At 46.8% G+C, this 24,754-nt stretch overlaps 2 protein-coding genes, 1 long non-coding RNA gene and 1 pseudogene across 24 annotated transcripts in view, besides 4 other annotated features; 2 read left to right on the top strand and 2 right to left on the bottom strand.

Moving 5' to 3' along the window:
- The window catches only part of SULT4A1 (sulfotransferase family 4A member 1), a 38,005-nt gene extending 35,939 nt beyond the window's left edge, over positions 1 to 2,066 (top strand). For both annotated transcript variants that reach the window (XM_011530121.2, NM_014351.4), the window contains one exon: positions 462 to 2,066. In XM_011530121.2, coding sequence (XP_011528423.1) covers positions 462 to 574 — 113 coding nt within the window. In that variant the 3' untranslated portion in view covers positions 575 to 2,066. The remainder of the gene's footprint in view (positions 1 to 461) is intronic.
- Positions 5,918 to 6,559: an enhancer, noted in NCBI's record as "H3K4me1 hESC enhancer chr22:44215896-44216537 (GRCh37/hg19 assembly coordinates)". NCBI's record gives its function as "activates a minimal SCP1, AML or CMV promoter by ChIP-STARR-seq in naive H9 embryonic stem cells {active_cell/tissue: H9 hESC(naive)}" and the evidence as "EXISTENCE:reporter gene assay evidence [ECO:0000049][PMID:30033119]".
- On the bottom strand, positions 8,673 to 14,153 carry EFCAB6-DT (EFCAB6 divergent transcript). Of its 3 annotated transcripts, none has more exons than NR_186822.1 (2): positions 13,591 to 14,153; positions 8,673 to 9,661 (listed from the first exon to the last, which is right to left on the bottom strand). It is a non-coding gene; the product is annotated as an EFCAB6 divergent transcript (long non-coding RNA). The 3 variants fall into 3 exon arrangements; NR_186820.1 differs by having other exon boundaries at positions 13,742 to 14,153; NR_186821.1 differs by lacking the exon at positions 8,673 to 9,661 and adding an exon at positions 10,794 to 11,024 and having other exon boundaries at positions 13,742 to 14,153.
- Positions 12,863 to 13,664: an enhancer, noted in NCBI's record as "NANOG-H3K27ac-H3K4me1 hESC enhancer chr22:44208791-44209592 (GRCh37/hg19 assembly coordinates)". NCBI's record gives its function as "activates a minimal SCP1, AML or CMV promoter by ChIP-STARR-seq in naive H9 embryonic stem cells {active_cell/tissue: H9 hESC(naive)}" and the evidence as "EXISTENCE:reporter gene assay evidence [ECO:0000049][PMID:30033119]".
- Positions 13,906 to 14,175: an enhancer, noted in NCBI's record as "active region_19191". NCBI's record gives its function as "activates an Ori minimal core promoter by ATAC-STARR-seq in GM12878 lymphoblastoid cells {active_cell/tissue: GM12878}" and the evidence as "EXISTENCE:reporter gene assay evidence [ECO:0000049][PMID:35858748]".
- The window catches only part of EFCAB6 (EF-hand calcium binding domain 6), a 283,528-nt gene continuing 273,043 nt past the window's right edge, over positions 14,270 to 24,754 (top strand). For 15 of the 19 annotated variants that reach the window (XR_007067980.1, NM_198856.3, XM_011530321.4 and 12 more), the window contains exons 1-2: positions 14,270 to 14,407; positions 17,444 to 17,580. The gene's annotated coding sequence lies outside the window, so the exon portion shown is untranslated. Of the gene's footprint in view, positions 14,408 to 14,436; positions 14,727 to 17,443; positions 17,581 to 24,754 lie in introns of those variants that run through there. The other 4 variants (XM_047441462.1, XM_011530319.4, XM_011530317.4 and 1 more) reach the window with 2 other exon arrangements.
- Positions 14,507 to 14,748: a silencer, noted in NCBI's record as "fragment chr22:44207707-44207948 (GRCh37/hg19 assembly coordinates)". NCBI's record gives its function as "represses an EF-1alpha promoter that drives an FKBP-Casp9 reporter gene in an ReSE screen in phorbol 12-myristate 13-acetate-treated (for megakaryocytic differentiation) K562 erythroleukemia cells {active_cell/tissue: K562(+PMA)}" and the evidence as "EXISTENCE:reporter gene assay evidence [ECO:0000049][PMID:32094911]".
- Positions 23,034 to 24,032, bottom strand: HMGN2P9 (high mobility group nucleosomal binding domain 2 pseudogene 9; annotated as a pseudogene).

Raw genomic sequence — 24,754 nt, 5'->3', positions numbered from 1 at the left:
TGAGTGGATAATGGCGTGGGAAGGGCCAGGGCTGCCTGTGATGCCCAGAGCAGTGCACTCCCGCGGCAGATCATACTCGCTCCTGGGATGTTTATTAAACACCTGCCACGTGCCAGGTGCCGTTCTAGGTGCTGGGGACCCAGCACTGAACAGGAGTAGAGTCTCCCTGGTGGGCCCCAGCGGGGGGTGTGGAATGGCACCAGGAGGTGGTTGTGGCTCACTGTGCCACAGCCTCAGAGGGAAGCTGGTTCAGGTCATGTTCTGCCGCATCCAGTAGTTTCACAAATGTTAGGGGACCACCTGGTCTGTAGCTCAGACGGCCCTTCCTGCCCCCATAGGCCAAGTTCAAAGGGATCCAGGAATAGATCTGGAATGTTCCAGATCCATTTCCAAGGCTTCCTTTAGTTCAGTAGCTGGCCGGACAGCAAGTGGCCCCAGCAGTTCTCTTGTTTGCGTTTCAGGAAGAGTTGGGCTGTGGAAGGACATCTTCACCGTCTCCATGAATGAGAAGTTTGACTTGGTGTATAAACAGAAGATGGGAAAGTGTGACCTCACGTTTGACTTTTATTTATAATAACAGAAACAACAACCTGCATGCTCACAATACCCAGACAGTCTACTAGCCAAAAGTCCTGTATGCATTCATTTATTCCTTGCTGGACAAACTCTGGAAGCAGCGTGTGAAACAGCGGGGGAAGGGAAGAGCGGCGTGAGCGGAGGGAGTGTGATGATTCCCAACCGAAAGCAGCTGTCTCGCCTTTAGAACGTGCAGCCTCTCCATGTCTGATTACAAACAGTCTCCACATTGCAGTTCCAATGGCCTGGACCGTAAGGATAAAGCCTGTAATATATGCAACTAGAATGTCTGCCTTTTCAACCCCGTATTATTGTATTTTATAGAGCTTTTCACTGGAAATCTACATAAATGTCAGTAAACCAAATAAAAGTTCATTTCCAAGGGGAATCAGGAGCGAGCCACACCCGAATGGTAGAAAGATCTCAGGGTTAACTCTTTATTTTTGTAGTTTTATTATCTAAGGCACAGCCATTCTGTTCTCACTTGGTTCTGAGATAGTGGTGAGAACAGAGGATGAGTTGGGTCTGTTGGGGGGAATCTGGACACTTGTTTATTCTGACGGAGTTCACTTCTTCAGAACCTTCCTGAAATGAGCAGAAATTGTTCACTAGGTCTTCAGAATGGACGTCCTTCTGCCAGAGACTTCCAGCGGGCGGCTCCAAAGGCCCAATGCAGAGGAGCCCGCGGAGCATGTGCTGAGGGAAGTCTGCCTGGTGAGGCTGGCAGGTGGGAGTCTAATGCAGTCAGGAGCATTTGCATGCAGTGGGTGGAGAGTCGGCCACCAAAGGACCGAGTTGCGCTCGGAATTTGAGCTGAATTCCACAGCCTTACTTTGTTTCCTGAAGTGATAGCCTACTAATGCTGGCAAGCAGATGCTTAATAGTAAATTTCTAAAATCCCCGGGTCTTTATCATTCAGTTTGTTCTGTGCACCTGAGGCGCTCAGCCGTGGGAGGACCATTTTGCGAGTGTAGCCCTGTTTCACTCGGATCAGGTTGGCACGGCCGCCTGCGTGTCTGTCCACCTCATCCCTCCGTGTATCTGAGGGAGTAAAGGTGAGGTCTTTATTGCTTCACTGCCTAATTTTCTCACCCACATTCGCTGAAGCGATGGAGAGTCGGGGGCCAGTAGCCAGCCAACCCCGTGGGGACCGGGGTTGTCTGTCATTTATGTGGCTGGAAAGCACCCAAAGTGGTGGTCAGGAGGGTCGCTGCTGTGGAAGGGGTCTCCGTTCTTGGTGCTGTATTTGAAACGGGTGTAGAGAGAAGCTTGTGTTTTTGTTTGTAATGGGGAGAAGCGTGGCCAGGCAGGTGGCACGTGGCATCGCATGGTGGGCTCGGCAGCACCTTGCCTGTGTTTCTGTGAGGGAGGCTGCTTTCTGTGAAATTTCATTTATATTTTTCTATTTTTAGTACTGTATGGATGTTACTGAGCACTACACATGATCCTTCTGTGCTTGCTTGCATCTTTAATAAAGACATGTTCCCGGCGTTGCGTCGAGCGTTTCTGCTTGTGGGGGTAGAGGGGTCCCTGCAGCGGTGCTGTCGGTGCTTGGGACAATATGACTGTGGGCCCCGTTGACACCCCATTCCCTGGGGTTGACAGCAGAGGGAAACAGGCCCGTGTTGGGCTTTGATGAAGCAGAATTCAGACTTTCCAGGGGTTCACTTCTCCCCATTATTTCACTCAAATTCAGACTTTCCAGGGGGTCAGTTCCCCCACTATTTCCTCATTCACCTCTGATCACTTCTATAAATGGGGTGGAGGAGAAAGGGTAAAAGCATGGGAGATGCGGGTGCACCTGTGGGTCCAGGTGTCGGGACCTCCCAGTCTCTGCCTGGGAGCCCTGTGTTCAGCGTTGCGCACTGTGGTGCCCGAGGCCGGCCCCTCCAACTGTGCTTCCCCACTGGGAATTCCAAAGCCTGTCTTCCTGATTTCCTGTGGAAGGAGAGTCCAGGGCATTGCTTTCCTTGAGAAAGCTCGAGCCTTCTGGAAAATCATGTTTATTTTCAAATGAACTACCTCTAGGTCTCAGGTGAAATTCTAGAAATTATTTTGGCACCTGGAATTAACACAGACCCTGGGTTAATCAAGTATCCAGTCTGCTGTGCCCTAGAGGGCTTGCCTTCTAGTAATTTATTAACCACATCAGTCAAGCAGCCAGGATGCAGTCAGTGTGCCTGGAGCCCAGGCAGCGCCTGTTTACCCATGTCCACTCTTCCCTGCGTGGTGGGTGACTCACCTCACTTCATGGAGTCGGTCATTCGACTGCACCTGCTCCATGCCAGGCACTGTTCCCGGCACTGTGGATGCGGCAGGGGACAGAGAAAGCCCTGCCTCTGTGGAGTTTGCATTCCAGTGGGGTAGACAGGCGACAGAACCCAAGATCAGTTCAGGCCCAAGCGTGCTCTAAGGGGATAGGGAACATGCCCGTGGAAGAATGGGGGGGCCTCTGAGGAGATGGTGCTGAGCAGTGGGGGGCCTGGCTGCAGCTGGGTGGGCAATGCGCTGGCAGGCACTCGGTTTTGGAGGGGTGGCTGCGAGCCAGCTGGAGGGCCTCACAGGTCATGAGATTTCAGCTTTTGTACTAAGATAGGGAGCCATGGGAGGGCTTATTCAGAAGAACGCCACCTGCTTTGCATTTTTAGAAGCTCTCCTGGCTGCTTTGTGGGTAGACTGCAGGGGCAAGAGCGAGTGGACCTTTGTCCCAGCTGTGAGTCACTCCATCTGCAAAGTGAGGTGGGCACTGTCTGAGAGCATCTCCAAGGTTTCTTAGGGGTCTGCAGTTGCAGGCCTTCGTGTGCTGGCTTCTGAGCATGGTTCTGGCTGTGCTCACCTGGAGCTAAGGCAGGGAAAACAAGCCAAGGCAAAAGGTGCTGTGAGGACTGTGAGGGAGCCAGGGTCAGGAGGAGGGAGCCATCAGGTTGGCAGTTGCATGGGAGTGCGGGTGGGATTTGAGCTGTGTCCTGAGGTTGAGGGTCACCTGGACAGGCAGGGAATGGGAGAGAGTCCTGGGCAGCCCTCAGCCTAGTCCTTTGTTATTTTACACAACAATCCACAGAACATTCCTGAATGTCAGAGCCCTCTAAGCGTAAGCCAGTGGTTGCCTGGTATTTTGATTTCACAGACCAATTGAGATTCCAAAAAGTATTTTGGGGACCAACCAACATAGCACTGACACACACACACACACACACACACACACACACACACTTCTTGCCATAGCACTGACACACACACACACACACACACACACTTCTTGCCATAGCACTGACACACACACACACACACACACACCAACCAACATAGCATTGCCACACACACACACACACACACACACTTCTTGCCAAGCAAGACCCTGAACTGATCTCAAATGATAGCCTTCAGCTGCTGCCCCTGCCCGGGCTGGGCGCGCCTTGCTGTCCTCCTGGCTCTGACACCAAGTCATTTGGAGTTCACTTGTTTTCCCTCGACCCCCCGCTCTTCATCTGAAAAGGGATCAGCACAGATTCCATGGTTCTCTGACCTGAAGCAGGTAAGTCAATTCCTCTGGTCCAGTGTCAGGATTTACACAGTGGTGATCGTCATTGTCCTGCTCACGTCAGAGGATGGTTCTAAGAACAGTGACGCTCCTTTGAGCATAAATAAAACGAGGCTGTGCTGGCCCCATCCTCCTGCCGGCCAGCCAGGCTCCCAGAGTGGCCAAGCTGCAGTTGCCAGCGGGTGGTGCACCGGGGGAGGTGCGTGAGCACTGCTAGGTGGGCATCCACAATGTCCCCAGTACTGCGGAGAGACCCCCTCAGGTACAGGCGCCACCACGTGCAGGCCCTGTCCTGGGAGATCTCAGTGGAGATCGGTTTTTACCCACCTCTCTAGGCCATGGGGCAGTGGTGTTTGTGGTGGAAGGAGGGAGCCTCAGGTGTCCAGCAGCTCTGCCTGGCCAGCTCCGTTCTCCCGTAGAGTTTGGCTCCATTCCTGCCCATTGACATCCTCTTCCACTCTTTATTGTACAACGTGCATTTTAAGACAGGGAGGGCCCCTGGGTCAGGTGACCCAGCATGACCCAGCTGAGGAACAGCCTCTGTGACATCCCTGACAAGGGACATCTTGTCCCCGGTAAGCTCACCAGCTCCTGGGACAGCCCCTCCACTCTGAGCCACCCTCTGCAGCCGCCACCCCAGCCAGGGCCCTCAGAATCATCACTTCCCTCAACTGAGCCGCCCAGCCCTGCCTCCTCTGCTGGACAAGTGCATCCCCCACACTCCCCAGCGATCCCTGCTTTCCTCACCGCCCCACCTCAGTGTTGTGTGGCTGTTTCCTTTGGAGACAGGGACGTCCTGAGAGTGGGGACTGCACCGTCAGGGTTTTCCTACTGTTCCTGCTTGGCCCATGGAGGCTGCATCTTCCCAAACAAGACCCAGCCTGGCCTCCTGTCTCCTTACCCTGGACCCCCACTTCCTGCCATTGCCCCCACTTCCTTAGTGACATTTCTTTACTGCCAGTGGCTCAGGTCCTGGTCCTTCCTACAAGTGCAGCCTGGCTCGTGGTCTTCCCCATGTCCGGACCATCCTTTCCGAGGTCACTGGCTTTCCAAATCTAGGTGTAGCTGTGTTTCCGGTGCCCTTCCTTCTGCCCTTCTTTCTCTGTCCCAAGCCCAGAAACGTGGTGCCCATAGAGCTACTGAGACCCTTCCTTGACACTCCCATCTCTCCCTCTCTTCCTGCATCTCTTGGGCATTTAGGAGCACCTGCTCTGCAAGGCCCTGTGCTTGGTATTCTCCCCCTTCTAATCAAGTTCCCTCCATTCCATTCCCTCGGGGCTCTGCTCTCAGCAATCGCCCACGTCCTTGTGGAAGGAGGCCTGGCAGGGAGCAGAGGACCTGGGCTCTAAAGTCCCGGCTTTGTCCCTGGCTGGCTGCATGACCCAGGCATGTATGACCCTTGCCTTCTCTCAGCCTGTCTCCATATCTGTCACGTGGCCTTCCAGGTTTCTTCTAGTTGTCAGAGTCTCCAGTTGATGGCTAAGTGGGCTTTCCTGGTGTCCCTGGCAGCACGCTGCTTTGCCCGTTTAAACACACACCTCCATAACAAACGGGCAAACAAAAGGGGCGGGGCAGACAGTAAACACCGCAGATTCCAAGCGGTGGCTTCAGTGAGACTGCTTAGTGTGAGAAGTACGCGTGAGCCGGGTCTGGAAATGGGGCAGGAGTCAGGGAGGGCACACACCAGGTGGGCAGAAACAGAATACGCCCAAATGAGGACAGAACCCTTCCCTGCCGGGAGTCGGGCGCCAGCTCCAGTGCTGCTCTGTTCCTATTTGTGGGACTGCAGGGAAGGTCCCTTTTATGTCATAATGAAGAGGTCACAGACCAGGTGTCCTAAAATTCCACCCAGCAGGAGCATGCTGTGCCTCTTAAGTGTGGTCACAGTGTCCAGCGACTCAGCTCCAGAGAGGAGCTGATGGGTGTGGGAGATGCCGGCTTTTCAGCCGATGACAGGCCCGGCCGGCAGGAGCAGAGAGCCCAAGGCAGAAGCACCTGCCACCCAGTGTGGGCCACGGGCACCGTCTCCAAGGCGTGCTGAGCCTTTGCCAAATCCACACATCAAACGACAATTTGATTCTCACACTTGGATCCCTGAATGCTAGCTGGCACTGACTGTCTGAGCTACAGCCCTTAAATCTGTCTCCTCACCACTGAGGAAAGGAGTCTGTGCTCTATTAAAAGCATTTTTTAAAAACCAGAGAATGCTAAATGTGTTTGAAAAATAAAAACCGACCAAAAAATACATTTTATCCCTCTTTAGAGTTGTTATCTTCCCATATATTCGTGGTGCTGGGCACCAGCTGGGAATGCAAGTCTGAAGACTGTGTGAGCAAGGCCCCCTCTGCAGAAGCAGAGACCGCATTGGAGCCAGCCAGAGACTCTTCCCCAGTCCACGCATCCCCAGACACTGAAGTGAATGGTTGAGGGCCTTTTCCCTGTTTCTGTCTCTCAGGTTGACCCTTTACAATCCATAGTACATGCAGTTCCCAGATGGGGAAATAATCTCTCAGATCCAGTTTGTGGCCTGGCACCCATCTCACTGCCAGAGAACCACGGCTTGTCTGTGCCCTCCGTGTCCCAAGTATGCACTTCCCTCCGCCTGGGTTGCCATTCCCCGACTTGACCCAGCTTACACTGATTCAGTGCGATCCAGGCACGATCTACTCCAAGACGCCCTTGGGCACAGTCCAGGCATGATCTACTCCAAGAAGCCCTCTGCCAAGGGTAGGAGCTCAGAGCTCCACTTTTGGTTAATATTACACCTCCCTTAACATATCCCGGATACACGGCCATCTGCCGGGAAAGCTTCTTGAGGCCAGGGCCATGTCTCTCTCACTTTCCTTGGCATCAGGAACTTAGCACAGAAGCAGTGCTCCGTGAAGCCTGATGGCTGGGAGCATTCCCAGAGTCTGACGGATCCAGCCTTGCCTTGTCATGTCAGCTGTGTCCAGCTGCCTCCACTGGCTATGCACTTGGAAGGCCCTCTCTGGCCCAGCCACACTGCTCACTCTGAGACCTTGACCTGCACTTCTAACGTTCGCTTCCCTAACTGCTATGGACCGTTTGGCCCCTTGGAAAGCCTTCCCCGTTATCTGTAGGTGCTGCCAATCCATGTCCACCACATGCCTTGGGCTGGTTTAAAAACGCAATCTCCTGGGGGCTGCCATGAATGAATCCCAGCTCACTGCCATCCTGGACACAACTAGGCCTCAGTTTTTACCAAGGACCTTAGGGGGGGGTCACCAGATCTGGCAGACAGGCTGTTTTTCAATGGGTGATGGCTGCCTCCATCCTGCGTCTCCATCACGCCCGGACTCTGCAGAGGAAGAGAAGGCCGGACCGTTCCTTAGCCCACAGAAGGCGTGACTGGCATATCTTCACTCCCATCATGAGACGGGATGCAGAAACGCATATCTTTTTTCCTTAGAAGTGTGCCAGCAGTTAGAGCCTTGAATTCGGAAAGAGTGATGATTCCCTGTAGTGGTATATCGGTTTGCATTTGCTAACTGCTTTCAAGTTTTCTTTCCTGAGTAGATATTTCTAGTCCAAGTAGGCTGTGAGCAGAGTCTGTGCCTCATTCATCCCTCTGTTCCCATACTGTGCATTCGTTCCTAACAGGTAATCCATAAATGCTTGTTACCTAACTAAAGGCAAATTAAATGCTAAACAGCACTAATGACAAGCTGTTGCAAGATCCCGGCTCTCAGGAAAGAATTACTTGTGGTTGTCAGGGGCCTGCCTGTTGCCCAGGTGTAGGAAACATGAAACACTTCTTTCCCAACTGCTTCTCTATTCCAGAGGTGGTGCATTCTTCTAAGATTGCTGCAATATAATGTTTGGGAGGCAGGTTTCATTAAAATTATTTTTTGAGACAGAGTCCCACTCTGTCACCCAGGCTGGAGTGCAGTAGTGCGATCTCAGCTCTCCTTAACCTCCACCTCCCAGGGTTCAAGCGATTCTCCTGCCTCCGCCTCCTGAGTAGCCGGGATTACAGGCACCTGCCACCACGCCTGGCTAATTTTTGTATCTTTAGTAGAGACAGGGTTTCACCATGTGGACCAGGCTGATCTCGAACTCCTGACCTCAGGTGATCCCTCCGCCTCGGTCTCCAAAGCACTGGGATTACAGGCGTGAGCCACTGCGCCCAGCCAGGGTTCATTAAAATTCTAAATATCAGTGTTCGACACCACGGAATCTTGTTCAGGAGCAACATAAGTGGATTTTATTCTTCTTTCCGTGAAAGGAAACAACCAGTAGCTATTAAAGGAAATTAAGAGCTTAATAGTATATCAGTCTCTTAAAGGGGAAAGAGAACATGCCTAGGTGCTTTGCTGAGCCTGTGGAGAGCCGCTCTCCATGGAGGATCCTCAGATAGATCCTCAAATGGCCCCCTGTTTACAAGTAATCATCAATTATTTGTAGTGACAACGTTTAACATGTGCAATTTAGTTTCTGGCTGATTGAACTAAAACGAGCAGCTGCGTCATCTGTCAAGGTAAATATTCGAGAGATAAAGCAGCTATTTTAATAAAGAAAAAATAACCACAGTAGCTTTTCCAAAAGAGCTACTTATACCTCATTTATTTTTATGTCATATTTTTTTTTCCTCCTCAGGACAGCTGAAGAGAATCTTGTCTCCATTTTATGAGACTACCAAAAGGACAGCAGTCAGGGAAGCAGATTTCTGAGAGGGAGAGGCTCTCCGCTTCCATGTGGACACGCTACGCATCCCTGCCACGTACTTGCTCTTCTTCCCTTCTTTATTAATAGACATGGTGGAAACCAGTACTTAACTTCTTCGTGGCTAATCAGCCCCTACTGTTTCTTTCTCCACATGAAGGCATAATCTGCATTCGTAACATCATCACTGATGCCTGTGAGATAATTACAGGCTCGATCTTACGGCCCAGTCTCTTAGGTGTACAGAATTGTGGTGAAAACCAGCTCCAAGCCCCCAAAACCCGCAGGGTGGGCAGAGGGTGATTGTCACCCAGGTCTCCATGATCCCAGAGTTTCTTCTTGAATACTGAGGGAATGGACCATCTGTTGCATATAAGTGTAAAGATATTTTCTCCAGCAATTCATGGTTTCCTTTTCAAGATTCTCATCAAAGGTCTTGAGCAGCAGACTCATGCCATGGGTGTAAATAGTACAGATGGTAACGGTTCCTCAGGAGGTGAGTTTACTGGCTTCAGTGATGCTGAATGGTATCTAGGAAAAGGTAGGACCCTCACCCACCAAATCCAGGCTTCAGCCTGTTGGAAGTGGACCCACTGCAGGGCACCTAAGGGAACCATCAATGTCTTCTGGGAAGTTTTTTTCAGAGAAGACAACAATCTCCTCCTACAAACTGTTCCTTGGGGCCACTGTCACATTATACAACTCTGGTCTGTTCCATCAAAGATCAAACCTTATTGAATAGATTTTAGGGGCTCATCTAGATAATAAATGAGGGAAATTTCAGTTTCTGTAAAAATTAAATCTGCACATGGAGGTGAGACGTTTCCTGGAACAAGGAAAACCCTCTGGATTGAAGATGATCTTTAAGGAGAAAAAAGAGAGAATCACGTGACAAAACTTCATGATGGACTCATCTAATTAGTCATTTCAACATATAGAAAAATTATCCTTGGGTTCAAGGAAATCAGCAAGGGTTTTGAGTTTCTGGGTTCTTGGCTACATTGATCCAGTTGTACACCACTTATGTGTGCGTCACTGTTACTGTTGTTTTTTTTTTTTTTTTTTTTTTGAGACGGAGTCTCGCTCTGTTGTCCAGGCTGGAGTGCAGTGGCGCAATCTTGGCTCACTGCAACCTCCGCCTCCCTGGTTCAAGCAATTCTCCTGCCTCAGCCTCCCAAGTAGCTGAGATTACAGGTGCCCACTACCACGCCTGACTAATCATTGTAGTTTTAGTAGAGATGGGATTTCACTATGTTGGCCAGGCTGGTCTCGAACTCCTGACCTCAGGTGATCCTCCTGCCACAGCCTCCCAAAGTGCTGGGATTACAGGCATGAGCCACCGTGCCCGGCCTGCTTCACTGTTGAGAGCAGGCCAGTGCAAAAGACATTAAGGTATTCCCTACTAGAATTCCATGTTTGCCCACACAGCCAGACATTGGCCAGGGTTTATCACCTAAAATTATCCCTCAGGTTCTTTTGGATTGAAGATGCTTCCAGGACTGTGAGACAATACATTTCTGTTGTCCAAGCTGCCCAGTCTGTGGAAATTTGTTACCGCAGCCCTATCTAATACAACTCCCTTTCTCAGATCCACTTAAACTGTGCACGTTTTGCCCCAATTGCTTTATTATTTGCTATCTATCAATACATAATTTTTTCAGAAGCATTTGAAAGTAAGTTACAGGCTGGGCACAGTGGCTCATGCCTGTAATCCCAGCACTTTGGAAGGCTGAGGCAGGCAGATCACTTGAGATCAGGAGTTCAAGACCAGCCTGGCCAACATGGTGAAACCCTATCTCTACTAAAAATACAAAAATTAGCTGGGCTTGGTGGTGTGTGCCCGTAATCCCAGCTACTTGGGAGGCTGAGGCAGCAGCATCGCTTGAACCCAGGAGGTGGAGGGTGCAGTGAGCTGAGATCGCATCACTACACTCCAGCCTGGGCAACACAGCGAGACTCTGTCACAAACAAACAAACAAAACACCAAAAACCATTAAAAAAATGGAATTATCTTTATTTTTTTTTTCCTAATGTCTTCTTATGATAGGATTAGGTGATGCATTCCAGATTAGAATACTACAGCAGTTGCCCTTTTCAACGGAGGTTGTCCTTCACATTACATCTGAAGCCACACAATGTCCATGCTCCTTGTTGGTAGTGTTAATTTTTATTATGGTATCCAAGCATTGTCCATTTTTCTTTTGTATTATGACTACTTTTTCTCCTGTAAGTAATAAGTGATCTGTGGGACTATCCTTTAAAACAATGCAAATATCCTGCTCCCCATCCAAAGAACCCCGAGATGAAGCACCCGTGAATGATCCTTGCCTGAATCAATCTTCACTCAGTGGTTGCAACATGATGGCTTTTCAGCTCTAGTCCTCCTGCATGACCATTTGTCCCTAGGCCTGCTACTGCAAGCACGTGCCCTCCCTTGTCCTGCATTTATTCTATCTGTCCATCGCTCCTGGGCCTGGACTCATGACTCCTATTTCTTTTACTGTCCTTCATTATTCTGGCCAGCAGGAGCCCCATTCAAGCTGGCTTCTGGGCTTTGTGACCATAGCGATCCTGGGGGGAGAATGAGGTTGAGGTTGTAGGATGGTCCCAGTGGCCCTGCATGCTGTTTTAAAGATTTTTATTTTTAGCATAAGAAGGCTTTTAAGGCAAGGTAGTGCAGGGGAACTTGGAGAGAATGGATGAGATTGCTACCATGTACGTATTCTGGTGTTAGAATCGACAAGACTTGCTGAAGCACTAGATATGGGGTATGAGGTAGTGATCATTGAGGGTAACAACAAGGCTTCCTAGTTTGAGCATTGCTTTGGAATAGGTGAGTGCGGGCAGGCACAGTAGCTCACACCTGTAATCCCAGCACTTTGGGAGGCCGAGGCAGGCGGATCACGAGGTCAGGAGTTCAAGACGAGCCTGGCCAACATGGTGAAACCCTGTCTCTACTAAAAATACAAAAATCAGCTGGGCATGGTGGCTCACGCCTGTAATCCCAGCTACTCGGGAGGCTGAGGCAGAGAATTGCTGAAACCTGGGAGGTGGAGGTTGCACTGAGTCGAGATCGCACCATTGCACTCCAGTCTAGGCGACAGAGCAAGACTCCGTCTCGAAAAAAAAAAAAAAGTAATAGGTGAGTGAGGGAGGTGAGTGGATCAAGGGCAATATGGATGGCTTAAGTCTGAGTGATCTCCAGTACATTCCAGTAGAGGGGTCAAGGCTGGTGAGAAGCATAACAGCAGGACCTACGACAGGGTCAGAGGGGCCCTAACATCCAAAGGCCACACAGAGGAGGGAAGTCACCAGTGGGGCCCAAGAATTGAGTAGTTGGTGTGGTATTAGAGAAGCCTGAAGTATTTCAGGCAGAAAGGAGTGATCAACTGGGCTGAATGCTACTGAGAGGTCAAGTAATGTACGGCCAAGTAGAGAAGAAGTATTTGTGAGAATGCCAGTTACCAGGCAATGAGAGTCACGCTTCTGTGAAATTTGGTAACTGAAAGACAGCATGTATAGACAGCTCTACTGAGAAGCAGGTTAAAGAGGAGCAGAGAAATGGGGTGGAAACCAGAAGATCATCTATTTTTTTTTTAAAGATGTGAGATACTAGAGCATGTTCCAAGAAGGAGGGAAAGAGAGAAAGAGAAAGAATGAGACTCTTGGCTATCATGAGAGAGGGAATAACTGAAGCCCTTTTGATCTCAGGACCAAACTTTTTGGCCTCAGGATCCATTCACACTCTTAAAAAGTATTGAGGATCCCAAAAAACTTTTATTTATGTTTATATCTATCAATATTTACCATGTTAGAAAATACAATTGATAAAAAATTTATTAACTCATTAAAAATAATAAACCCATTAGATGTTAACGTTCTCTAATGAAAAATTACACTTTCCAAAAAAGTGAAAAGAGGGGCAGTTTTCTATTTTTGCAGATCTCTTTAACATCTGGCTTAGTACAAGACCGCTGGATCTCTTACCTTCTTTTGCATTCAATTTGTTGCAATATCACACATCATGTAGCTTCTGGAAAATCCCCCCATATACTTATGAGAGAAAAACAATGAAAAAGCAAGTAAAGTCTTAAGTGTTATGAAAGTATTTTTTGGCCCCATGGACAGTCTGAAAGGGTCTCAGGATCCCCAGGGATTCCCAGACCACACTTAGAGCACTGCCTATAATAAAGAAGGCAAATGGGGAGGGATCCAGGACACAGTTAGAGGGACTGGCCTCTGTAAGAGACCCTCTTTTGGGGCAAGAGGAAAAGAGGCGATGAATGCCAAAGTGATTGTGAAGGAGTGCATTCCATTCTTATGCATTACATTTTCTCAATGGGATAAGACCCATGGTCATTGAGTCCGGTGAGGAAGTAGTGAGTGCGGGAGGTCTGAGACAAGCCATGGGAAAGAATTCTCTTGGTGAACAGGAAAACTAGCTGCCCAGTGAAGTAGTCAGAGTGCCCAGCAGGGACCGCATAGTATCCATCTTTGCAGCACACACCAGGGCACCTAATTGACCTGCCGCAGCCATGTGTGCAAGGAATTCCAAGCTGCACACGTCTGCCTGGCTGCTTCTCTCCCACAGTGAGCAGTGTGGCAGGGTGCCTAAGAGCAAGCTCCATAGGTTCTCATTCTGCTCCTACCCCTGACTGGCAGTGTGTCCTTGAACAAAATGCTCTGTGTGCCTCAGTTACCTATCTGTAAAATGGGAGTAACCACAGCACCCACCTCACAGGGTTGTTGTGAAGACAAATGAAGATGACAATTACATGTAAAGTACATACCTAGGATGGGTGAGTGCCTGGCAAGGGAAGTGCTCCATAGGGTCAGCGACAACAATTACATTCACTCACGTGATTTATGGCGCTTCCACTCGGCCCTCTGTCTTAGTAATAATTCACTCATTTAGCGAATATCAATGGAATGGATGCTTACTGTGGGTATGGGCGGAGGCTGAGGTTACAGCCTGGGCAAAGCAGGCCAGCTCCCGTCCTCACCGGCTGTCTCCTCGAGCAGACAAGCGGACCCAGTGAGACCCGCTACGTGGTGGCACAATGCGAGTCCCCATGACTGCTCACCCTAACGAAGGCGCAGGATGCGGTAGGGGCTTTGCGGACCTCACTGCAGCCAATCCTGACCACAGGCCCCAGTGGGCACGCTTAGCCTTTTACAGATGCAGAGTCTGCTTCTCAGAGCAGGGGGCTGACTTCCCCCGGCTACACGGCCCTATGCAGTTCGGTGGGACCGGGCCGACCGCCCAGCTCGCGCTAAAGCCCACGTAACAGAAACCCGCTCCCATGACACGGGTCGCCAGGGTTCCCGCTCCCCAGAGAACGGGACTTCCGGCGGAAATTTCTTCCGGGAGCGGAGGCGCGGGACTGACCTGGCCCCGCCCCCTCCTCGTTTATCTCCAATTGACCAATCACAGCTCAGCTTCTTGCCAGGCGCGTAGGCTCATTCTCCAGTCAGCGACTGCCGTCGTCTCTCGGGCAACAGCGTCCTAGAGACGCCGAATGGGCAGCCCCTCTGAGACCCCGCGGCTTGGGGTCCGCGCACGCGGGTGCCGGCCCAGCTAGGCGGAGAATCGAGGAGGGGTTCCCGGTAAGGCTGTATTCGGGGTGGCCACGCGCGTGCGACAGGCCGAGGAGGGGCCGGGCGGGCGGGCAGCTCCGTGGGTCTCACTGCCCTGAGAAGGCCGGCGCTGCTGCCCACCCCCAGGGACGAAGGGGTGGTGATTCGTTTATTCAGGTGTTCATGGCGCGTCTGCTTGTGCCAGGCATGTTGTAGGCCCTGGGGCCCTGTGGGGAACAGTAGGGCCCCTGTTCCCGTAGCTTACCTGATATGTGGAGAAGAACGATAAACAACGCTGACGGTGGTGACGTCTTCTTCCCTGCCTCTCTGTGAGAATCAGCTGGGAAATGTGTGTGGAAACGCCCTAAATCTCTCCAGTTTACAACATGTCTCATGCCCCTGATTTCATTTGTGCCCACAGCAGTCTTGTGAATGTCATGATTGACTCCCTCCTGTAGACAGACGAGGACTTGAAACCTGTGGGGTGAAGGGGCTTTTCCAAAGTCACACAACTATCTTAGGAAGTTTCTGAGCCAGAATTCAAACTCATTTCTGTATCACGGCAAAATCTCTGCTCTTTTACACTCTTCTCCCACAGCCTGCACATAATTACCCCTGCCTCCCTCAGAAATTTTGTTTGGAAGCACTTTGTGAGGTATACATCTGTATAGGGCTTACTTGAAGGTTGTCCAAATCACCCCTCTCTCTACTCCCTTCCTTTCTCTCCAAATCTTTGCCTTTCAGGATGTCTTGCCCCTGTTAAGAGGACTCTTCTTTTCTTTTCTTTTTTCTTTTCTTTTCTTTTCTCCCTCCCCTCCCCTCCCTTCCCTTCCCCTTTCTTCCCTTCCTCCCCTCCTCTCTCCTCCCCTCCCCTTCCCCTCCGCTCCCCTCCCCTTCCCTCCCCTCGCCTCTCCTTTTCTTTCCTGATGGAGTCTTCCTCTGTCACCCAGGCTGGAGTGCAGCGATCCCAGCTCACTGCAACCTCCACCTCCCGGGTTCAAGCGATTCTCGTGCCTCGGTGTCCCAAGTAGCTGGGATTACAGGCGCCTGCCACCACGCCCAGCTAATTTTTGTATTTTTAGTACAGACGGGATTTCACCATGTTGGCCAGGTTGGTTTCAAACTCCTGACCTCAAGTGATCCATCCGCCCGCCTTGGCCTAATTTAATATGTGTTCCTAAATGGGTGGCCTTAACAGAAATGCTGTAAATCAATTCTACTTTCATACACTACAGTTCATGTCTTTTATCCATTGCCTTCAATTCAGCAAACGTTTACTTGGCTAAGTTCTGGGGATATGAAAGTGAGTCAGAAATGGCCCCTTTGATTATATGTGAAGATATTTGCCTCCTATCCAGTCTTATTGCAAGATCCTTTGAGGATGAGGATTTTATTTTAGTTATCTGTGCTTTCCCTTTTTCCTCTATGCTTATTTTAATGCTTGGTTCATGATAGGTGATCATAGATATTTATCAAGAAGTGCTTACCTGAGACTGTAAATTTCGCTCTCCAGGGAAAAACTGCCCTGTTCCAGCTATCTACCTCTTCCCCTTGTACAGAGATCTCTATAGCACCCATGCTCTGATCTCTGCAGCTGACTGGCACCTGGAGACAGAACCAGCTCCATGAGGATGTTTAGTAGCCTGGTGCCTGCCCAGATCAGGAATCTGGTGAGAGGCCACTGGTTGTTAACAAGGCAGTTGTTAACAACTGAGACAGGTTTGAGAAAACTGTGAATAGAGATAACATGAATATGATACCCTTTCAGTATTAAAAGCTTCATTTTCTACTTTTGGTTTTGATCTTTCACTGCTATTTTGTTTACTTTGTTTCAGGTACCATTTGTTACTTTTTCTTTCCATCTATTTGTCCACAGTTTTACTACTTCTATTTCTACTACAGCAACTACTAATACTACTACTGGCTAATACTAATTGAACACTTACTGTGTGCCAAGCACAGTTTGGTCCCTCATACTTTTTAAATTTAGTCCTCACAAGTTGGCTATGGAAAAGTACAAGTTGGGTGTGGTGGCTTATGCCTGTAATCCTACCACTTTGGGAGGCTGAGGCAGGAGGATCGCTTGAGGCCAGGAGTTCGAGACCAGCCCAGGCAACAAAGTCAGACCCCCCCCATATCTATGGTGGCATGTGCCTGTACTTCCAGCTACTCAGGAGGCCGAGATGGGAGGATCACTTGAACCCAAGAGTTTTAGGTTGCAGTGAGCCATGATAATGCCACTGTACTCCAGCCTGGGCGACAGAATGAGACCCTGTCTCAAAAAACAAAACAGGCTGTGCGCGGTGGCTCATGCCTGTAATCCCAGCACTTTGGGAGGCCGAGGCGGTTGGATCACCTGAGGTCAGGAGTTCGAGACCAGTCTGGCCAACGTGGTGAGACCCTATCTCTACTAATACAAAAAATTAGCCAGGCATGGTGGCAGGCACCTGTAATCCCAGCTACTCCAGAAGCTGAGGCAGGAGAATCTCTTGAACCTGGGAGGTGGAGGTTGCAGTGAGCCGAGGTCACACCATTGCACTCCAGCCTAGGCAACAAGAGTAAAACTCCATCTCAAAACAGACAAAACCAAAACCAAACAAAAAAACAAAACAAAAGGCAACAGGGACACAGAGAGGTTAAGGGACTTAACAAAGCTGATAAATGGTAGTGAGTATGGCTCCAACTCCAGGACTGCCTGATAATAACCTGTGTTCTTGATGAGTATGCTATCACTCTCAAACACTTATATACTCTACAAGTCCTGCCAAGGCTTTGAGATGACTTGTAAGAATAACTACAATGTGATAAAATAGAAACATGTAAATCAGAATCATTAAAAATATAGACAGAATAGGAAGGTATCAGAAAGAAGGAATACTCAGATCATCTATAACGGTTAATAAAGTTGGGCTGGAAATTTAGCTGGGAGCTTCTTGTCAACTCATGGAAAAATAAAAGTAAAAAAATAGAAGGTAATAAAATTTATTTTTTTTTCCAGGGAAATAAGGCCTTTTGATTCATCTGGAAAAATAGGTCTAACCTGTTTCTAAAATAAATTTCTCACAGGGCTCATCGCAGAGGATTGGAAGGGCCTAGATTACTGCCCAATGACAAAAGTGTGGGCTTAATGTCCTCACTCTTCAGGGAGAGAATGTGGACTTTAGCATTTGAACTGAATATTTGAGATTGAAGATTTCTGAATAGTAAGTTTTCGATAACACCTTCTGAATGTAGTTTTTCCCCTGGGACGTTGTAAATGGTGTTATCCTGCATCCTGGGTTGGTTTCAGTCATTTGTTTGCTCATTTACTTAGCAACTATTCATTGAGCATCTGCCATATGCCAACCCCTGCCTAAGCATTGGGGATCCCCAGGCAGTGGTCATCTCACTGCCTTGGCACTCCTGGTGTTTCCATCCTGCCAGTTCTTCCTGCTGGGTTTTTTTCTGGACTCACTTTTTGTTTTTTCTCTGTTATTTTATTCTGATATTCTGAGGTGACACCTATAACCATATAGCTGTTTTTTGTTTTTGTTTTTGTTTTTGTTTTTGCCCAATGCTCTGTCTGATTTATCTTTCTGTATATCCTCGGGACCTAAAAATAACAGCTACCAAATAGCTAAAGTTCACTGTGTGCCAGGCACTTCACGAATATCACCTGTGATCCATCTACACCTTTGGAGCAGTGGCATTTACCATTTTGGGGTCACCTGCCTTTTGAGAAGTGCTCTAGAAAAATCATCTCACACACAGTTTTGCATGTCAGTAAGTCTGTAGGGCTATAAAAGCACACACATGGACCGCGATTCCATGTTAAGAATACTTGCTTAAAGGAGAGATATTCCAGTGGTCCCTCAGTATCTGTGGGAGATTCGTTTCAGCACCCACTCGAAGATACCTAGATTCATGGATGTTCAATTCCCTTATATAAAATGGTGTAGTATTTGCATATAACCTACATAATCCTCCCATATGCTTTAAATTATCTCTAGATTACTTACAATACCTAATACAATGTAAATGCTATGGAAATCGTTATACCATATCATTGAGACAAGGAAAAAAGTCCATACATATTCAGTACAGACATCAACATCCATATTTTTCCTGAATATTTTCAATCCACTGTTGAATCTGTGGATGTGGAACCCATGGATATGGACGACAACTGTATCTCCCTTTTTCAAATGAGGAAACTGAGTCAGGAGGAGGTTAATTAACTTGCAAGTTGTTGTGGTGGATGGTGGAGCCAGTTTGACCCTATGCCTGCTTGACGTCAAAGGTTTTGATTTTTCCACCGTCCAAGAATGTAGATGCTCAGTAAATGGCCAATGTGTATATGGAAGTGTGTGGAAGGCTATAAAGGGAACTTGATAGTTGATATGTCCCAAAATATAACAGTCCATTTGATATCAGTATAGACAAGAAGATTTTTCTCAAGTGTTTGGATTTAACTGCCAAAACCTTTTGTGTTGCTTACAATTTTTTCCAATTTAGTCGAGTGATAATTTCCACACCCCTCTCCATGATACAGTTCCAGCAATTTTTGCTTCTGGTGCCATTTCTATTTGGCTGTGCACACTTTTTACTCTTGTGTTGAATTATGTTTTCTCTGGATGCCAAGGCAGATGGATGGCACTTTTGTTATGATTCTGATATAAATAGCACGTGTTTAAAACTGGACATCAATACTTCTCTGGCAAATAAACAAATATATCAGTGAGATAGCCTTCTAATTGTGTTTTTCCCATTGGTTAAGAAGTGTATTTGATGGTCTGTGACTTGATGCTTATTTTGGGGGTATTAGTTTTTATGATCCTTGCCAATTTCTACCTCACCAAGTTCTGAAGTAATCACATTCATTAATGTCTCAAAATTCTCTTTATTTTGAAAACCTCAGCTGAGGATGGTGTAAAGTCAGGGGTGAGCTACAGAACTCCTCACAGTGCCTTGGTCATACTCAGAACCTTGTTTAGCTTTCAAAATCAAGGGTAAAATTAGCCTAAGCTTCTATCCCTTGCAGTCATAGTGTTGATAACTGTGGTCCATCAAGAGCAAAGTTTAATGGGGTGCTTACTGCATGCTATGCCATGTTGAGTGTAAAAAGGTAAGTGGAGTCCACTGGAGGGACTTATTGTCTAGCAGGGGCCAACATAAAGGTCTGGAAGCAGAGAATCAAAGTGAAAATTGAGGTAGGACTAGAGGAACAGATGGGAGAATATTAGAACTTTTACTTCATATTTTACCCACCACATCTGCAGCCCCACAGCAAAGTGATGGAATTACGAGTGGCTTTTATCTTTTGGTTCTTTTCTTTATTAAATGAAACAATTAGCAAAGCACACCTATAAGACTTAAGTTCTTTGTAAAGGCATGATTAATTTTGTTTAAGGACAATAGGAAGGTCTCCTGAAGGAAGGGGATATACCCTCAGTTTTGAAAGATTAATTGAAGTGTGCCAGGTGCAAAAGAATGAAGGAAATTCTAGCACAGGCATGAACCAAAGCTCAGAAGTGAGGAACTACGTGGTGTGTTGGGAGCACTGGGTAAGAACGTAGCATGCCTGGAGGTAATGGCGTCTGGAAGGATCACCTGAAGCCAGGTGGTTAATTATATGAATGACCTTCTACCCCACAATTAAGAGTTTGAATTTCAGGCCTGGTGCAGTGGCTCATACCTGTAATCCCAACACTTCGGGAGGCTGAGGTGGGAGAATCACTTGAGCCCAGAAATTCGAGACCAGCCTGGGTAACATGGTGAAACCCTGCCTCTACAAAAATTAGGCAGGTGTGGTGGCATGCACCTGCAGTCCCAGTTATTCAGGAGGCTGAGGCTAAGGTGCAAGGATCACTTGAGCCCTGAAGGTGAGGCTGCAGTGAGCCAAGATTGCACCACTGCATTCCAGCGTGAGACCTCCTCTCAAAAAAAAAAAAAAATTGAATTTCAGTCTTTATGCCCTGGAGAAGCATTGCTTCTTCTCTTTTTTCCCTTCCCCTCCCCTCCCCTCCCCTCCCCCTCCTCTCCTCTCTTTTCTTTTGAGATAGTCTCACTTGATCACCCAGGCTGGAGTGCAGTGGTATGATCTCGGCTCACTGCAACTTTCACCTCCTGGGTTCAAGCGATTCTTGTACCTTAGCCTCCCGAGTAGCTGGGATTACAGGCACTCACCACCACACCCAGCTAAGTTTTTGTATTTTTAGTAGAGTCAGGATTTTGTCATGTTGGCCAGGCTAGTCTCGAACTCCTGGCCTCAAGTGATCTGCCCACCTCGGCCTCCCAAAATGTTGGGATTACAGGCATGAGCCACTGCTCCCAGCCCTATTTTTCTTTCTTAAAAGAAATTTTATTTATTTTTATTGATGCATAATCCATGTACATAGCTCCAGGGTACATGGGATAATTTAATACATTCATATAATTTGTAAAGATCAAATCAGTATACTTGGGATATCCATCACCTGAGATATTTGTCTTTTCTTTATGTTAGAACCATTCAAATTCTTCTTTTCTAGCTATTTTGAAATGTACAATAGGTTATTGTAATCTATAGTCACCTTACTGATCTGTCTAACACTAGGTGTTATTTCTTCTATCAGACCATATATTTGTACCCATTAATCAACCTCTCTTCATCCTCTCCTCCCCTCTACCTTTCCTGGCCTGTGCTAACCACCAGTTTACTCTATCTTTATGAAATCCACTTTTTGAGCTCCTCCATATGAGTGAGAACATGCAACATTCTTCTTTTTGGTGCTTGGCTTATCTCATTTTTTAATCAGAATGTCACATAAGGACCTCCAGTTCTATCCATGTTGCTACAAATGGCAGAATTTTATTCTTTTTTATGGCTGGATAATATTCTATTGGGTATATGTATCACATCGCACTGAATCTGTAAATTGCTTTAGGTAGTATTGCCATTTTAACAATATTAATTCTTTCAATCCATGAGCATGAAATACCTTTCTGTTTTTTGGTGTCCTCTTCAATTTCTTTCATTGGTGTTTTATAGTTTTCCTTGTATCAATCTTTGATTTCGTTGGTTAAATTGATTCTTAGGTATTTTATATTCTCTATAGCTATTGTAAATGGGTTTGCTTCCTTGCTTTCTTTTTCAGTTTGTTTGCTGTTGGTATGTATAAATGCCACCAATTTTTGAATGTTGACTTTGCATTCTGCAACTTTACTGAACTTATCAGTTCTAACAGGTTTTTGGTGGAGTGTTTGGTTTTTTTCTAAATATAAGATCATGTCATCTGTGAACAAGGCTAATTTGACTTCTTCTCTTCCAACTTGGGTCTTCTCTCTTTTTTTCTTAGTCTAACCAAAGGTTTGTTGACTTTATCTTTTCAAAAAACCAAATCATGTTTCATTGATTCTCTGTATTTTTTCTTGTCTCAATTGTGTTTATTTATCCTCTGATTTTTTTTTTTTTTTTTTTTGAGGCAGGGCTCTGTTGCCCAGGCTGAAGTGCAGTAGCAGGATCATAGCTCACTGCAGCCTCAAACTGCTGAGCTCAAGCAATACTGCCTCAGCTTCCTAAGTAGCTAGGACTGCAGGTGCGTGCCACCACCATTCCCAGCTAATTTTTTAAAAAAAGTTTTTGTAGAAATGGGATCTTGCCATATTGCCCAGGCTGGTTTTGAACTCCTGGCCTCAAGCAATCCTCCACCTCAGCCTCCCAAAGTGCTGGGATTACAGGTGTGAGCCACCGTGTCCAGTCACTGATCTTTATAATATCTTTCCTTCTACTACTTTTGGGTTTGCTTTGTTCTGGCTTTTCTAGCTCCTTGAAGTGCATCATTAGGTTGTTTTTTTGAAGTCTTTCTATTTTTTTTGACATAGGCATTTATTATTATAAACTTCCTTCTTAGTACTGCTTTTGCTGTAGCCCATAGACTTTGGTGTGTTGGATTTTCATTTCATTTATTTCAAGAAATTTAAAAATGTCCTTCTTAATTTCTTCATTGATTCATCGGTCATTCAGGAGTGTGTTGTTTAATTTCCATGTGTTTGTGAGTTTCTGAGGTTCCTTTTGTTATTGATTTATAGTTTTATTCCATTGTGATCATAAAAGATACTTGATATGATTTCTACTTTTTTGAATTTGTTGAGACTTGTTTTGTGGCCTAAGATGTGGTCTATTCTGGAGAATATTCCATGTGCTGATGAAAAGAATATGTCATTCTAGCTGGATACAGTGGTGCGTGTCTATAATCCTAGATACTTGGGAGGCTGAGGGGAAGATCACTTGAGCCCAGGAGTTTTGAGTCCAATCTGGGCAATACAGCAAGACCCCATCTCTAAAGAAAGAAAAAGGAAATGAAATGCGTATTCTGAAGCAGTGGGTGAAATGTTCTGTAAATATCAGTTAGCCCTATTAGGTCTAGTCTGTAGTTTAATGGCAGTGTTTCTTTGTTGACTTTCTATGTGGATGATCTATTCATTACCGAGAGTGAAGCATTTTGAAGTATCCTAATATTATTGTATTGCAATCTGTCTCTCCTTTTAGATCTAGTAATGTTTAACTTCAGGTCTTTGTGAGCTCTGGCATGGTGTGCATATATATTTATAATTGTTATATCCTCTTGCTGAATTGATCCCTTTATCATTATATAGTGACCTTCTTTTTCTTTTTTGATAGGTTTTGATTTTTTTCCCAAGCCAAACTATACCCAGCTTTATTAAAGATACTTTCCATAACCAATCACGGTATTTCAGCAGGACATGGGCAGACAATCATTAACAGTATTTAACAACTTTCAAACTCCCTTCTTCAACCGACTATCAAAAATCAGAAAGCCCCTATCAAACCCTATGAAGTTTTCATTTGATGCTCTGAACAGGGAAAGTTTAGAGTGAGGGTTGAACAACTTTTCATGACCCAAGCATGACTTTCAGGAAGTGAAATGAAAATGGGAGAATTTGTCTAAAGATCCACAACCCAGAAAGAGAACCGCTGCTCTTTTGAGGGGCACCATCTCAGTGGTTTCACTGGAAAGTCCAGATTGCCTGACACGCTGATAATCAATTATTGAGGGTCAGGTCCCAACAGGTATCTCGGTTTAAGGGAGTTAAGTGTATGCTGAAGGTGGAAAGAGAAAAGAGGACATAAAAATAAATTTGTTTTCCCCTCCTTAAGGCTTTCATGCTAAAGTGGCTATGTGTGTCAAAGCCAGGAAATCCCTCCTTGTGGGAGCCAAGAGGAAGTCTCTCAAAACTAGAAGAGAAAGGTGTTTTTTCCACATCAGTCTAGTTTTGAAGACATTCTATTAGTGACATAGGCTCCTTCCCCAAAAGACAACAATGAAGTGTTCTGTGTGCTAACAATATAGCTTCTGCATTTTTATAAAACTTGATTAAAAATAGTATTTCAAACTGTACAGTCATCAGAGGTACACAGTTATTAAAAATGCACACACTTCACTTGGCATCTCCAACACATTCAGCTTTCTGTGCCCGGTCTGTTTTGGCATCTCCATGTTGTGCAGGGTTATTCTCCTCCTTGCCAATATCAGCTTTTCCCTTTTTCCCTTTGTGTACCTTCTCTCTCTTCTTTGTAGGGGCCCTTTTAGGCTTGGGCTCTGGCTTTGGAGGAGCAGGTTTAGCAGACAAGCTTGCAGATCTCTGTGATTTGTCCTTCATCTTGGTTTTATCTTTTTTTTTTTTTGAGATAGAGTCTTGCTCTGTCACCCAGGTTGAAGTGCAGTGGCATGATCTAGGCTCACTGCAACCTCTGCCTCCTGGGTTCAAGCAATTCTCCTGCTTCAGCCTCCCTGAGTAGCTGGGATTACAGGCACTCCCCACCATGCCTGGCTAATTTTTCATAGTTTTAGTAGAGATAGGGTTTCGCCATGTTGGTCAGGCTGGTCTTGAACTCCTGACCTCAGGTGATCCACCCGCCTTGGCCTCCAAAGTGCTGGGATTACAGGCGTGAGCCACCCAGCTGGTTTTATCTTCTTTCATGTCCTATTCAACCTTTCTCTTGGGCATGGTGATGATGGCAGTGGGATGTCGGTGCTGGTTGCAGGATGTAGCAGCACACAGCCTCTTGTCAGTTCAGGGGACATCTCACCTCTTTTTCACACTGCTTGATAATCTTTGATTTGTAGTCTATTTTATCTGATACAAGTAAAGCTATTCCTGCTCTTATTTTGGTTTTCATTTGCATGGAATATCCTTTCCATCCCTTCACTTTCAGTCTATACGAGTCTTTATAGGTGAAGTGGGTTTCTTATAGGCAGCATATTGTTGGGTGTTGTTTCTTAATCCATTCAGCCACTCTATGCTTTTTAATTGGAGAACCGAGTCAATGAACATTCAGTGTTATTGTTGATGAGTAAGAACTTACTGTTGCCATTTTGTTGCTTTTTTCTGTTT

The sequence above is a fragment of the Homo sapiens genome, chromosome 22 (genome assembly GCF_000001405.40).
Source record: "Homo sapiens chromosome 22, GRCh38.p14 Primary Assembly".
In the NCBI taxonomy this organism is placed as follows: domain Eukaryota; kingdom Metazoa; phylum Chordata; class Mammalia; order Primates; family Hominidae; genus Homo; species Homo sapiens.
This window is presented reverse-complemented; position numbering and strand designations above follow the sequence as displayed.